At 38.4% G+C, this 13613-nt stretch overlaps 1 protein-coding gene across 56 annotated transcripts in view; it reads left to right on the top strand.

Moving 5' to 3' along the window:
- NRXN3 (neurexin 3) overlaps positions 1 to 13613 on the top strand; it is a 1697919-nt gene that overhangs the window by 1522869 nt on the left and 161437 nt on the right. For all 56 annotated transcript variants that reach the window (NR_158973.1, NR_158975.1, NR_158974.1 and 53 more), the window contains one exon: positions 4389 to 4696. Coding sequence is in view for 49 of the 56 variants with exons in the window: in XM_011537363.2 (XP_011535665.1) it covers positions 4389 to 4696 (308 nt within the window). In the remaining 7 variants the exon portion in view is untranslated. The remainder of the gene's footprint in view (positions 1 to 4388; positions 4697 to 13613) is intronic.

Raw genomic sequence — 13613 nt, forward strand, 5'->3', positions numbered from 1 at the left:
TTTGTAGAGATTTCATTGAGTTATATAGAAGAAGTAACCAGGTATATTACTTAGTATACAACTTAAAGAGCAAAGGACTACTACAGTTTTAAGTTGGAGGAAGACATTCAGACCTTTAAACGTGGAAAATCCTCACGGAGTGTTAACTGTTTGCCCTGTTTTTAATGTATGTGGTCTAATTAAAAATAAGAATAACTCTAAAAAGCAAATAATTTTGTTTAGTAATCATCAGCTCATAAAGTCCCTTTAACATTAAAGACAATGATTGCCTCACTTTAAACAGGAAAAGCAAACTAGATGCATGTCTGAGTCTCATGTGCCTGAGAAACCTTTTTGTTTCTTTCAATTTTATGTTAATAATTTTTATTTTACTCCATTGCCTTTTAAGTCTAAGTTTAATAGCATGCCAGGCATTTTCATTTGTATAAACCATTATAAAGTTATTAGTAGGCTTTTAGTTTTTCTTACAATAGAATTGTTACCCGTTGGCTTTCACATAAAAGGTGCTTTCAAATATACAAGTTGAGGGGTTGGGATGGGGGGAGGGGTGGCTGAGGTGGGACTGGGGAAGATATCCTAGTTTCTTAAATATATGTATGATTATATATGCATATAAATCTGAAAAGAATTATTTGCAAACCGTGAGTTTCTCTTCTACATTTTGTTCTCTGAAAAAAAATTTTTGTTGTAATTTGGGTGAGTAACATCTATGCATTCTATTGTCTTACCTCTTCCTCTGCCTAGCTAACCTTCCCTTCAAAAGGAATAAAATATACCAAAGACTTGTAAAGACAATGAATATAAAGGATAAAGATAGATGGATGATTAGACAGATGCATTTGGAAGTATTTGGAATGCCTCTTTGGAGTTATTTCTGTCACTGGGGTGGAGAGCTGGGTCATAGCATTCCCAAGTCTCTTTTCTGGCTCTGTCTACTATTGACTAACTTTCTGACCTTAGACAATCCACTTAACCTCTCTATATCTCAGATTTCCCATCTGAGGACGGGCAAAATAATACTGCCTATTCCCCAAGGGTGTTCTGAGGTTTAATTAATTAGTCTTTGTGCAACACTGACTGGAGACATGCAAAGATTTAATTTAAGCAGTATGTGAACTTGATGTCCAAATGAGGTAATAATTAATGACTTCCAAGAGGATGGGTATCTAAAACAAAAAGTAACCTGCTACAATTCCTCTACCAGTGTTTGTTATAACCAAATTTTGCATTAAGAAAGATAAAATAGTTCTCAGATTAGGATATATATGCATAAATATGCACATATATATATATGTTTTTATGTACATATAATGGTCAGTTATTATAAAAATCTGATCATAAGCCATGAGTGAAAATAATGAGAATAATGAGATCTGGCATTGATTTGGGGAAATCTTGGGCAAATGATAAAAAGAAACTGGTCAGTTCTTCACATTCTTCATAGGGAATGAATAGTGATGGTTTTTTCTGTTATTCACTAACCCCTGTTTATCTGAGAGATAAATTAATCAGAGTAAGGGATGGCAGGACACGAAGAGTGCTCTACTGTTCCTTTACTGATTGCTAGCTTTGCCATTAACCACCTAATCCAAGGTACAGGGAGCTAGGAGAGGGTTTTACTACAGCAGAAGAGCAGATCTAGCCAGAAACAGACCATGAAACAAACAAGCAAACAGAAAAGCAAACACTCCCTATGGCAAGATGAAAAACTGAAACATAGACAACCCCCTTTACTGTCTCACTCCATCAGTGTCTTATTCTCAAGAATTGATTAGTCAGATCTCTCTGGGAAAGTAGCTGTAGTCAGGAGTAGAGGGGTAGTTTAAATCTTGTAGCCCAGGAAACCTGCCTTGCCTTTCCTGATGCTTGGGTCAGTCTTGAACAGGCAAAGAGCACTTTGTGGAGTGAATGATGGCAACTGGAATGAAGGAGACTCATCATCTCTAGCCAGTGTAATTCAGCTTTGCATTTTCAGTTTTCTCTGATCCTCTTTTTATTTGTAAGCACTGGCATAATAACACCACTGGAGAGATAAGATGAGAACTATTATAGAGGTTATCATTGTGAAGTATTTTCAAGGATATTAGAATGTAAGATTTTCTACCTGTAATCAAGTATAACTGTTAACTTATCACCAGTGCTGAACTATACACAAAATAAAGAGATGGATAAATATTATGATTCGCCAGCAGTTGTGTGCATGGAAAGTATCTCTTGGCATTAGGCTGTCTAATGTAAGATACTGAATTTTTTCCTAGAAATCTCCTGCTAGGCAGCTGCTTCTAATTTCTAATTCATTATGTTAAGCTGCTTCAAATGCCTCTGTGGGGTTGAGGGAGAATTTATTTTCCCCTTCCATCATTTCATGTCTTTTGTAGTAAGCTCAGGGCTTCCAGAAAAAAAAAAAAAAAAAACTGTCATCAACAATAAACAGTAAAGAGGTATGAACTCCAGCATATTACTTAGTATTATTATGCATTGAACTTTCTGCTGTGTCTTGTGTGAAGAGGACAGAGGACAAAATACAGACAGTGATGCATATGCACAACACACTAAATGAATTGCTGAGAAAATGATGAAAATCTATGAGATCTGTTTTGATTGCATCCTTGGGATCTGGGTAATTCTGTAGTCATTAAGGCCAGCAGATCCCATATTCAGGTTCTGGAGATTTTTATAAAGTATAGATCATTTTCACTATAACAAAGTTCTCTGGCCAATTCACCATACTGCAGTGTTGAAAGCTTCCAAAGGGCTATTATTTGTAAATCATTCTTGATTAATGGGCACTATGAGTTGCCTAGTGTGCAGAATTAACTCTTGTCTAAGGAGTATCCTCTGATCGGATGAGCATTCTCTTCTCTGCCACTTCCATTTCTTTCATTGTTATACATTGAGAAGGTATTTCACATTATACACCAGGAATTCAAGGACAGATCAACATTGTGTAGCCTTGAAGACCATGTAATAGTGGTAGATTTTTAAAGCCCAAACGTGACAATATCCCTCTATTCATATTGGAAATTATAAAGCAAAAAGCTTTATAATTTTGTTAAAAACCCTCTTTTTATTAAGTAGTCATAAATAACAAAATTGTTTCTAGTTATTTCTAGCTAAGGTAATTCAGGTGATTAGATTAAGAATGAGTGGAGCGTTGTTTGATCACTAAGTAGAGAAAACTTCAGAAGGCGTATATTTAATTCCATTAATAAGTCTTTCTTTTTTCCTTTCTTCATATGGAAAAGCAAAATGAAGTAATCTGGAGACATAACAGTAAAGAAGGCCTTAGCATATTGCTGTTCTGATAAATTGCAATAAATTTTAAAAAGCTCTTACTTTGAGTTTGCTTGGGAAAAAAATCTCATACTTGAGAGTTTTATAAGTAGAAAGAGTTGGGAGGAATTTTAGTTGGGTTTCATTCTTCTAAACTCTATACTGGTATGTTTTTTCATTTTGATACTTTTCAGAGCAGTATAAATGGTGTCAAAGTGGGAACTCGAAATAAAGTGAACTATTGATATTCTTCAACTCATTAACACACCTCTATGTCATTTTAAGGAGTTTTATATGTTGCTTTCTTCATTAATATCCATCCATTTTAAAAAATTTATTAAATCTGAAGGACAACTTCCCCAGGACTGGAGCATTACCAATATGCTTATATTTCATACTGAGGGAATAATTTAGTTGTGGGACCATAATCCATCCTCCTAAAAACAAATTAATAGAGATAGGAATTTATCTCTCATGATTTTGTTAACCAGAAAATAGAATATTATGCCCAATGAAGATTTATAGGAAATGATACGTTTGGTGACTAGAAATGATACGTTTGGTGACTAGTAGTTCATTTTTACAAGTATGCAATGAATCCAAGTCTCTTAACTGAAATTTAATTTCAGCTAATTTAATTATCAGACCTGGTTTTTAAATTTAGTTTTCTGAGTCACCTCACTGAGTTTTTTTGGCCATATTTAATTCTTTTCATTCTCATTATTTTACTTCGTAGCTTTAAACATTAATGCAGTAGGTATCCGTAATTTATTCTGGTCATCACCTGATTTGAGTGTTTCTTTCTGTCATCCTCAATTATATACCCAAGAAGACCATAATACTTCTTATCATTGAACCAAGATTTCTTCTTCCTCACTATGAAGGAATAGAGACTTGATTGTTCAAGTTATCAAAGATTTTCAGCTAGACAGTGGAAGAGATAACCATAATGAAATGTTACTTGCTAACGTCAGTACTGAGGTTTTGTTGTCTATTTTTTCCTCCCCTTCAATTGCTCAAGGAAGCCTGTTATGATGCCTGGTCCATTCAGACCAGGTAAGGCAAACAAGGAAAACGTATGAGAATAATAATGTTTCCTCCACCCAACCCACTAGGCCGGCAGTTAACCATCTTCAACACTCAGGCGCAAATAGCCATTGGTGGAAAGGACAAAGGACGCCTCTTCCAAGGCCAACTCTCTGGGCTCTATTATGATGGTTTGAAAGTACTGAACATGGCGGCTGAGAACAACCCCAATATTAAAATCAATGGAAGTGTTCGGCTGGTTGGAGAAGTCCCATCAATTTTGGGAACAACACAGACGACCTCCATGCCACCAGAAATGTCTACTACTGTCATGGAAACCACTACTACAATGGCGACTACCACAACCCGTAAGAATCGCTCTACAGCCAGCATTCAGGTAGGCCTTTTTCCAAGTATTAATTGCGTCTGTATTTTTATCTTTGCAACATTGTTATCATGGTCATTGCTTTATGTAGCTAAAGAGTTTGAATTACTATGTAAGAAGGATGCTGGCAGATACTCATAGTAATGAGACCCAGGAGAAGAGAAAGGTGAAGTCATTGCTAAAGAAGTCATAAAAGTCTGTGGCACTCCTGGGTTGTTATTCTTATTGTATTTATCACTGAAATGGTAAAGCTGTTATTCAAAACGAGCAATGGACTACACTTTCAGTATGAAATACTCTCTCCTTTAATTTTATTACCTTTTCAAATAACAGAAAGGGCAAGGGAGGGAAGGAAAATCTGTTATCATATGAAAAGCTATATCCTAGTTCAATTTCATTCACATTCTCCAGATGGCTTTGCTATAACATGAATCTTTCATTATTGAGGTCAATGGGTACCATTAAATCAAGGGCAGTTAAAGTTAGAAGTGCAACTACTCCTTGTAAAATGCAGTCTTTATGTTTGTTATCAAATCCTGATTAATCATGTGTCAGGTTTGTGCCCATTTTGTTTTCTTTATATTTGATCAAGATACTAATTACAGTAGAAAATTTGAAGGTTTGAGTTTGGCTATACCGGAAGTCCTTGTTTTTGTGGCAGTTTTTTTCCACTTGAAAGTAATTATATCCAAACTAAGCTTAATACTTTGCTGACTCCCTTGGCATTTCATAAATCTAGTTAGTAGGGGGTAGGAGGTTAACTGAATTATTAGCCTTAAATGCTCTGGCATACCATGAGACATTCCAATTGCTGCTGCGACAACAATTACTTACCCCTATCCTAGTTAGTGTTTATAGAAAAATCAGTAGATTAGCACTTGTCCTGTTTGCTTCTTTGTTTTAAGACATTATCCAGGAGCTCAGTTGTGTCTTTAACATCACCTTTACACTGACTCCAATGGACGTGGTTAACTTAAAGTCAATAATCAATTATACCACCTATGTGTTCCCATTTTTCAGAATTAAATGTATGTGAGCTAGGTAATGGTAAGTGTATTATCTGTTGCCTTCCTTTTTCCTTTTCCTTGAGCAGAAGTATCCAGACAGCTCTTTGCATGGCTCCACAGTAACAATTTGGAGTTATATATGCTGACAGTGTCATAAGGGCAATTTTATCGTTTTCAAAAGGCTTCTAAAAACCTGGTTAGCATAGTACTGTTACCGTCACACATGCTATTACCTGCATACCTACACACATGCTCACGAGAAAAAAAATAGCTCTTCTCTACTGATATTAAACCAATAACTCCTGACACCTTGCTCTACTCACTGAAAAGAAGATAAAAGGCAATATATATTTCTATTATGACTCTCTCTAGCTCAAGAGCAGATCTGTTTATTGTTGGTGAAAGGATAGTTCTGTCTGCACAGGTCTTGGCAGACTTGTTTTGTTTCTGTCAGAATGTATTCTGCTAACTCTGTGGGAAGCAGAGAAGCAAATGGCTTTTTCTTCATAGGAATGGCTGGTCCTGTAGTTCTTTTTAAGGCCAAATTTTCACTGACCTTGAGATGATTTAATGTTACACGGGGATTCGGGAACCAAGCTGTAGTAATTATTGGTTTTTTGGCTTTCCCTCCTGTAGCACATACATAAATGGGAATAAACTGGGTGAGTTCCTGAACTCTTTCCGCAAATTAAGAAAGTCAGAACTTTGGAAGAAAAGTAGGGTACAAGATACAAAATCTTGCTAGTGATTATAACTCTAAACGTTATAGAACCTATGGCCATTTTAGAGGAGATGAACAACTGGGAATGCCTTCTCCAATAGCCTCTCTCTGGCATGTGTTTCTTTAAGTCCAGTAATTATCGAACTACATCTACATGCTTTTCCTTTTACTTCCACCAAGTCTACAAAAATGAGTTATAAACCTGTTGAGACTCTTTGGTTTTAAGGGTAAGTACATCCTCTTGGAGGAAAGCCAATAGCCTACAAGAATTGATTAGACTGCGATGAGGGATTTTAAAAGCCCTGGATTTTTTGGAAGACTAACTAGAGGAAATAACTTTCTGCCAAGGGTTTTGGAAATCTTTTTTGTTCTTGACCACTAGTCATCAGAACTCTGCCCTGTGCTCCATTAAAAACTTAAAAGCCTCATCTTCAAGCCTAGTCTGGTCTTAAACACATTCTGTTGATCACATCAAACCTATGTTAGGACTGGGGACCCAACAACTATTGGATTCTATTCAAAGTTTAGGACAATTCCCAGACTCTAGAGACTGCAGGTAAGGAAGGTCAGTCCCAGAAGCATTAATATGCCTATGTGACCCCACTACTTTTCTTAGATGAGGAGGATTCATAAAGTTCTGATCTCTGGGAGATACTTCAGAAGTGAGTGGGGAAAAAAAGGTAGGGAAGACTGGATTTCATATTCACCGGGCCCATTATTCACTTTTTTATCTATATGTGAAATCATACATAGAACATTTTCCAAATGATACCACTGTTCTGTCCTCTTTTGCTAAATTTAATAACATTGTCAAAGCAAAGTTTTCCTAAAATGAGACTCCTCTAGGAGAAAGAAAATAAGCATGTCAGTCCACCAGTATAAAAACCTGTCTGTTCAAAAATCCTCTAGTTCTTTCTTAAAGCATAAGCAAAGAAAACATCCTTTCAAGAGTTCTTTCCTGGTCAACCTGAGGTAGTGTTGATTTCAGATCAAAGGAAAACTGTAAGGTGCTTTCAGTGCTGCTTTTAACCGTGTGTGAATGTGAACAAGTAGTTTTTGAGTTGGTATGTCTGTCTAGTGTTATAGCCTCTTAGAAGTAATTGGTGCTTTGATCTTTCTGATTCCATTTTGTTACAGGTAAGAGTGTAGAACTATCTGTGAATAACCTGGCTGATGTTAATTTACTCATAGCAATCATGCCCAAGCATCAGGTCTTGATCCTACATTGAGAAGGATAGCTCTAGGTACTCTATTGAATTTTAAAAAATTTAAGATGTGCATTGAGAAAGCAGGTGTGTGAGTGATAATTCTCAAGTAAAGGCCTGGCACTTCATAGGTGCTCAGTAAATATTTACTGAATACATCTGAAAACAAGACAGGCTTTATTACCTACTTTAGAGTCATTTCACAATGGAAGGTAGCATAGCTTGAGGAAAGTGTTTCCTCCACAGTGATCAGGGTGCTTTGGCCAAATTTGTTGTATTTTTCAGTAGTAAGGCTATAGCATAGTGATTCAGTGCATGCACTTGGAGCTAGATTAGCTGGGTTTAAAACTTTGTTCATCCTCATATTAGCTTACATGACCCCAGACAAGTCATGTAAGTTCTAGTTAACTATTTATATGAAACAAATTTTCCCATAACTTGGTGGTTTAAAACAATTATGTCATTAGATTTCAAAATTCTGTGAGACAGAAATTTGGGCACAGTTCAGCAAGGCAATTCTTCTGTGCCATCTAGAGAGATGATTGTGTTCACTCAGTGGCTGACTTTGCCTGGAGGGTCTGGCTTTATTTACATACCTTGTGCTTTGCTGGGTTAACTGGGAAGATGGGACTCAGCAGGGCCCTTTTCCCTCTCTATGTATTCTCTGGGATTCTCCTTGTGGTTTCTCCAGCAAAGCAGATGGGCTGTGTTTATAGAGGCTCAGGGCTTCCAGAGAGAGTACTTCCAGGGGCAGGAAGTAGAGGGTGCCAGTTTTATATAGCCTGGGCTGGGTAACTGGCAGTGTCACTTGTACAATATGCTATTAGTCTAAACAGTCACAGAGCTTTCCCAGTTTCAGAGGAGGAGACATAAATATCACTTCTCAATAGGAGGAGGAGTAGCAATAATTTGCAACCAACCTAAGTCTACCACATTACTAAGGCTACCATATTATAAAGTAGGGAGGGTGGTGTACTTCTAGTGGCTATGTTATATGATTGTCATAAGGATAACTGAGTTGATATAAGTAAAATGCTTAAAATAAGTGTACCATTCAAAGTAAGACTGCATGCGTTTTAACCATTATTATTATATTCTGTTTCCCACAATTGGTGTATTAAATCAAGATCCTCTCAGGCAAATATCTGCCTCAGAAAATGGGGCTGTGACTACCGACAGTAGTGGCTATAGTTTAGAGTAAGGGCTAGGAAGTTTGGGGGAAATAGAGATTTGAAGGTGGATCCAAGCAGAATTTAGGGGCTGAAATTAGTCCTGGCAAATCAAAATTTCTATGATCTCAGGAACAGACTTCTCTGACACCTCACTACCCATCTTTAAAGTTCTGTTTTATTTTAAACCAACTTAGAGTTCTATGAGTCTTTGAAAATATGTTCTGTCTATCCACATGTCTTTTAGGGTTGCAAAGAAGACAAATCCAGATTCCTTACCATCGTGGAATTTACAATCTAAATAGGGCAAGAGGGTTTGACATGAGCTATCCATATGAAGTAGTGACTCATGAATGGCTCTTTGTGCTGGGGATGGCAAGTGTTGCATGGTGTGGCTTGACTGGATCTCATGCACTCATTCTACTAGGCCTTGTTGTAAAAAGAGCACAATTGGACAGGTGGTGAGAGGAACATATTCCTGGTTGGTCAAATGTCAGCCAGAAGCTAAGTTGTTAAAAGCAGAGATTATAATCTCTGGGAGAGATAGCCAAGTCCAAGTAGAACAGAGAATGCATAAGAGGGAGTTTGTGAGTAGCAAGGGGTCCAGAATCAAAATCTTGGCCTGAAACTTTGCCAAGTGGGAGAGGGCCCAGAGGGGTAAACTGAATTGGGTTCCCTGTGTACCTTACTACCAGGAATGCCCCAATAATTGCACAAACACTTCCTCTACAACTGACTCCAATATTGGTGGGTAATTATTATGGTGCTGATAGGTCAGCTTCTAAAATAGAAAAGTTCAACTCAGTCTACACTCAAATTCGTTGGTCTTCCTTCAGGATAGAAGGAAAAAGTGAGAAACAAGTCTTTTACCTTATGTCTCCATCCTGAGTTATCAGCAGAAAAAAAAAAAAGCTCAGTGTGTTCTGTGCAAATCACCATTTGGAATCATTTATAAACTATTTGCAGGATACTGATCATGACATACTTTTTCTGTGTTGGGCATTGGTAAAGTCACCTTGACATTGGCAACTGCTGCCTGAAAATTGCCAGAAAATCACAATGCTCAGCATGGATTGGAACTATCCTTATAACTAGTCAAAATGAAAGACTTAAGAGGTTTGTGAGATTTCATTCTCAAGCTTCACAAACTTGGTGGTTGAATGTGAACCACTTTTGCAAATTCCAGAAGGAAGCCACAATTTCTCATGTTTTGTAAAAATTCTTATAGGCAAAGTACTCTTAGCTTTTCAGTGTCAGACTGGAGACAGTAAGAAGCATGCTTCAGCCTTGATACTGATGATTACAAAACAAAGAAAAAACTTTGGATTAAAATGTTCATCCTGCGCAACGTCTGTTCTGGGTAGAGTCTCAGTGTGTTGAAGAGCGTGGGCTTTTGCGTCAGAGTTTCTGAGTTGGACTCCAGGTTTTTCCAGTTGCTTAGCTGTATGTATAAGTCTGTTCTCACACTGCTATAAAAAACTACCCGAGACTAAGTAATTTATAAAGAAAAGAGGTTTAATTGACTCACAGTTCCGTATGCCTGGAGAGGCCTCAGGAAACTTACAATCATGATGGCCGGAGAGAGAAAGGAGAGTGGGGAAACTGCCCCCCTGATCCCCCCTCCCACCAGGTCCCTCCCTCTACATGTGCGGATTATAATTTGAGATGAGATTTGCCTAGGGACACAGAGCCAAACCATATTGCTGTATATCTCTGGGCAGGTGATTAGCCTCTCTAAGCCTCAGTTTTACTGTCTGTAAAAGTGGCCTTACAGTACCTTTCCCGTAGGCTCCTTGTAAATAGTAAAGTGCAATCATGTGTGAAAAGCACCCCATAACTTTTCAGTAAAAATTTTCACATAAGGAAACCACTTCAACCTAAGGGACTCTCCCAGAACTCACAGATCTCCCTAGAGCTTAGCCTTCCTGTGGGGCTGGATAAGCCCAGGAACAATTTTGTTTATACTCATACAAACTCACAAGGGCCTGGATTGTGAGTTCTTCTAAGGGCCCCAGATTGAATCAGAGCCCCAAGCTCATCAATCAGGAGAGATTGCTACGGCAGGCTCTTTCATATTCTGGAGTGGGAATTGGCTTTGCTGAACAGTTACAACACATAGACTATTCTATTAGGTTGAAGTGTATGAAACCACTATTTTTGTAGATCAAAATGGTTAAATATTAGCAATATCACATGGTTCTACGATGACACACAGATTTACAGCATGTTGTTATCAATGGCACTTCGAGGCCCAGACTAGAACCTCAGATATTCTCCAGGTCTTCAAATAATCAAACTGCCTTGCACTGGGAGACAAGATAGATCCACCTTATCCCCAAATACTGTGCTATAGCAGGATGTAGATCACACTGTATCAAAACTGGTTATATTTACCCAAAGAATTATCCCCTCTGGGTCCTTCCACCTTTTCCCTGCTGCCACCAGCTTGAGAGAAATGAGATAAGGAATCTACACAGTTTTCATCTCCTTGCTTTTACCACTAGACAACAGAGCCTCCGGGGGAAGTTTATTTTTAGGATCAGGGCTCAACTAATATTGATTAACAGCCTTACATAATGTGAGGCTCCAGGGTTTGTTCTTTTCCTGCCAAGCCTCATAACTGGAGAAGGCGCTGAAGATTTGTCAGTCTAATCAGACTTTAGCTGCCAGCCAAGAAATATCTTCTGTCTTCTCCTTACCCTTACGCAGGTACTTTCTTTTTCCCTCTTAGAGAATAATTTGGGGGGAGAGAAATTGCACTCTAATTTACTTGTTGCCTGGTAAGATTCTCTGGTGACATTTACTCTCTGGAACTGCACAGTTCTAACAACAACAGAAAAGGGAGCTTGATGGGTTTACCTTCCTCTTAAAGACTTAGATGTTGGCAGTACAAATAGGCAAGTGAAAAGAGTGCAGTGTAGTTTGTTTTCATCCTTCCTTTAATACGTAATTTTGGTGGATGGAACAGGTGCTTTCCAAAACTAGGTCTAGTCGATGAAAGGGTCCTGAGGGCAGACGAAGTGTGAAAGCTCCCAGGAGAATTCATAGAGATGCCCTTCCAATTAGGATGTAATATTTACAGGATGGAATTTCCACCAGAACTACTAATAAAGTGCTGGCTCTTATTTCTAGGCATCTGAACAGCTGGGAGGGAAGTGGGGTCAGTTCTTGGCTACCCACGGGTGGAGGTCCCTGAGTGTTTTTAAACCTCAGGGTGGTTTTTCTAATTACCTAACAGACTCTTTAGCCGAATCTAAAGCCAAAATCCTTGCTGCGTGGCATATGGTTCTCCTCCTTCCTATTGCTCTGACCATATTTTCCACCACGTTGCTCCAATCACACAGGTCTTCTTGATCCTTCTTGAACACAGAGCAAGAAGAAGGGTGAAACCGGTGAGGCAGGATTATGCAATTGCAAGCTTAGATTTTCATCTTAAAATTGATATTTGACTTTTTGCTTTTGCAGATTTTTTTCCTGCATTAATATTGATTTTAAAATATTTCAGCAAATGAAAACAAAGTTTTAGCAAACCCCCGTTAAATCTTACACCTTAAGCGAGTGTCTCATTCAATCTTCTCAGCCCTGCCTGAATGTGCCAAGCGTGCCTGTGCCTTTTCACCTGCCATTTCCTCTGCCTGCAGCAGCCCTTCCCTGCTATTCACAGTACTCACTCCCTCACTTCACCCAGGTTTCCGCTTATATTGCACCTTCCAGAAAGGACCTTCTTGACCGTCTGTAAAATACAACACTCTATCGCCTTTTCCTGTTTTGTTACCTCTCATAGCACTTATCACTGCCTGACATTATAGCTCACATTTATTTGTTTATTGTCCCTATTTAGTAGATTGTGAGTTCTAGGATGGCAAGATCTTTATTTTAGGCACTAAAATAGCACAGTGCCTAGAACAGTAGCGAGCACAGAGTAATACGCAGTCAATGTTGGTTGAAAGGTATAAATAGTCAACCATCCACCAGTACCTTCTCAGGGAGTCCACAGGCCACACAATATTTACAGGCTGAATCCAAGCCCCTGTTTCCCAGGACCCACTCCCTCATGAGGCTCACCAGTGAGGGTGGGCACCACTGGGTTTGCTGCTCTTGGATCTTTGCTCTAGGAATAAGGAGTCCCAGAGATATCTCCTTGTCTCTGGTATGTAAGATTATTTTTGTTAGCTTCCAGTCTTGTTGCTCAGCCAAAAGCAAGGGCTAATTCTAGCACGTATAGTTTTCAAATCACTTTTGGAAATGTAATATCACCCACCTTTCCCTTTCCAGTTTCTTCTTCTTCCTTTCCAAATAACTTAATCCTTAATTCTCCTAAAACCCACTTTCAAATATATGCAAATAAAAATTACTTGGTAAGGATGGAAAATTAACTTGAGGCTTTTTTACTTTTTTTTTTTTTTTTTTTTGGTCTGTTGAGAAAAGGGCTTGTAGGGTGGTGCCTGCATAAACTGGCCATAAAAATATGGGACAATAAGTTGTTGAAAGCCACAAGAGGCCTCTGAGGAGGAAAGCCTCCTAAATGCCATCATGTTCCCAGGCTCAGAGCGAGATCTGCTCTCTTATCTGTAAACACTGTGTTCAAAGGAGAAAGACTCTGCTTTGAAGCATTGAAATGTGGCCAGATATGCTGGCTCCTAGTGAGGCCCACTCCCCCCAGCTGCTCTCCGATAAATTAAAGAATAAATCAGTAGTTAATTTTATGCTGCTTCAGCACAAAGAAAATTTACCTAAACTGCCATTGCTATAGATTAGGTGTATGACACACCGCCCCCCTTTCACCGTTTCACCCCTGAACATCTGCTTCTTAGAGCTAAGTGATTG

Source organism: Homo sapiens, chromosome 14 (assembly GCF_000001405.40).
Source record: "Homo sapiens chromosome 14, GRCh38.p14 Primary Assembly".
Classification (NCBI taxonomy): domain Eukaryota; kingdom Metazoa; phylum Chordata; class Mammalia; order Primates; family Hominidae; genus Homo; species Homo sapiens.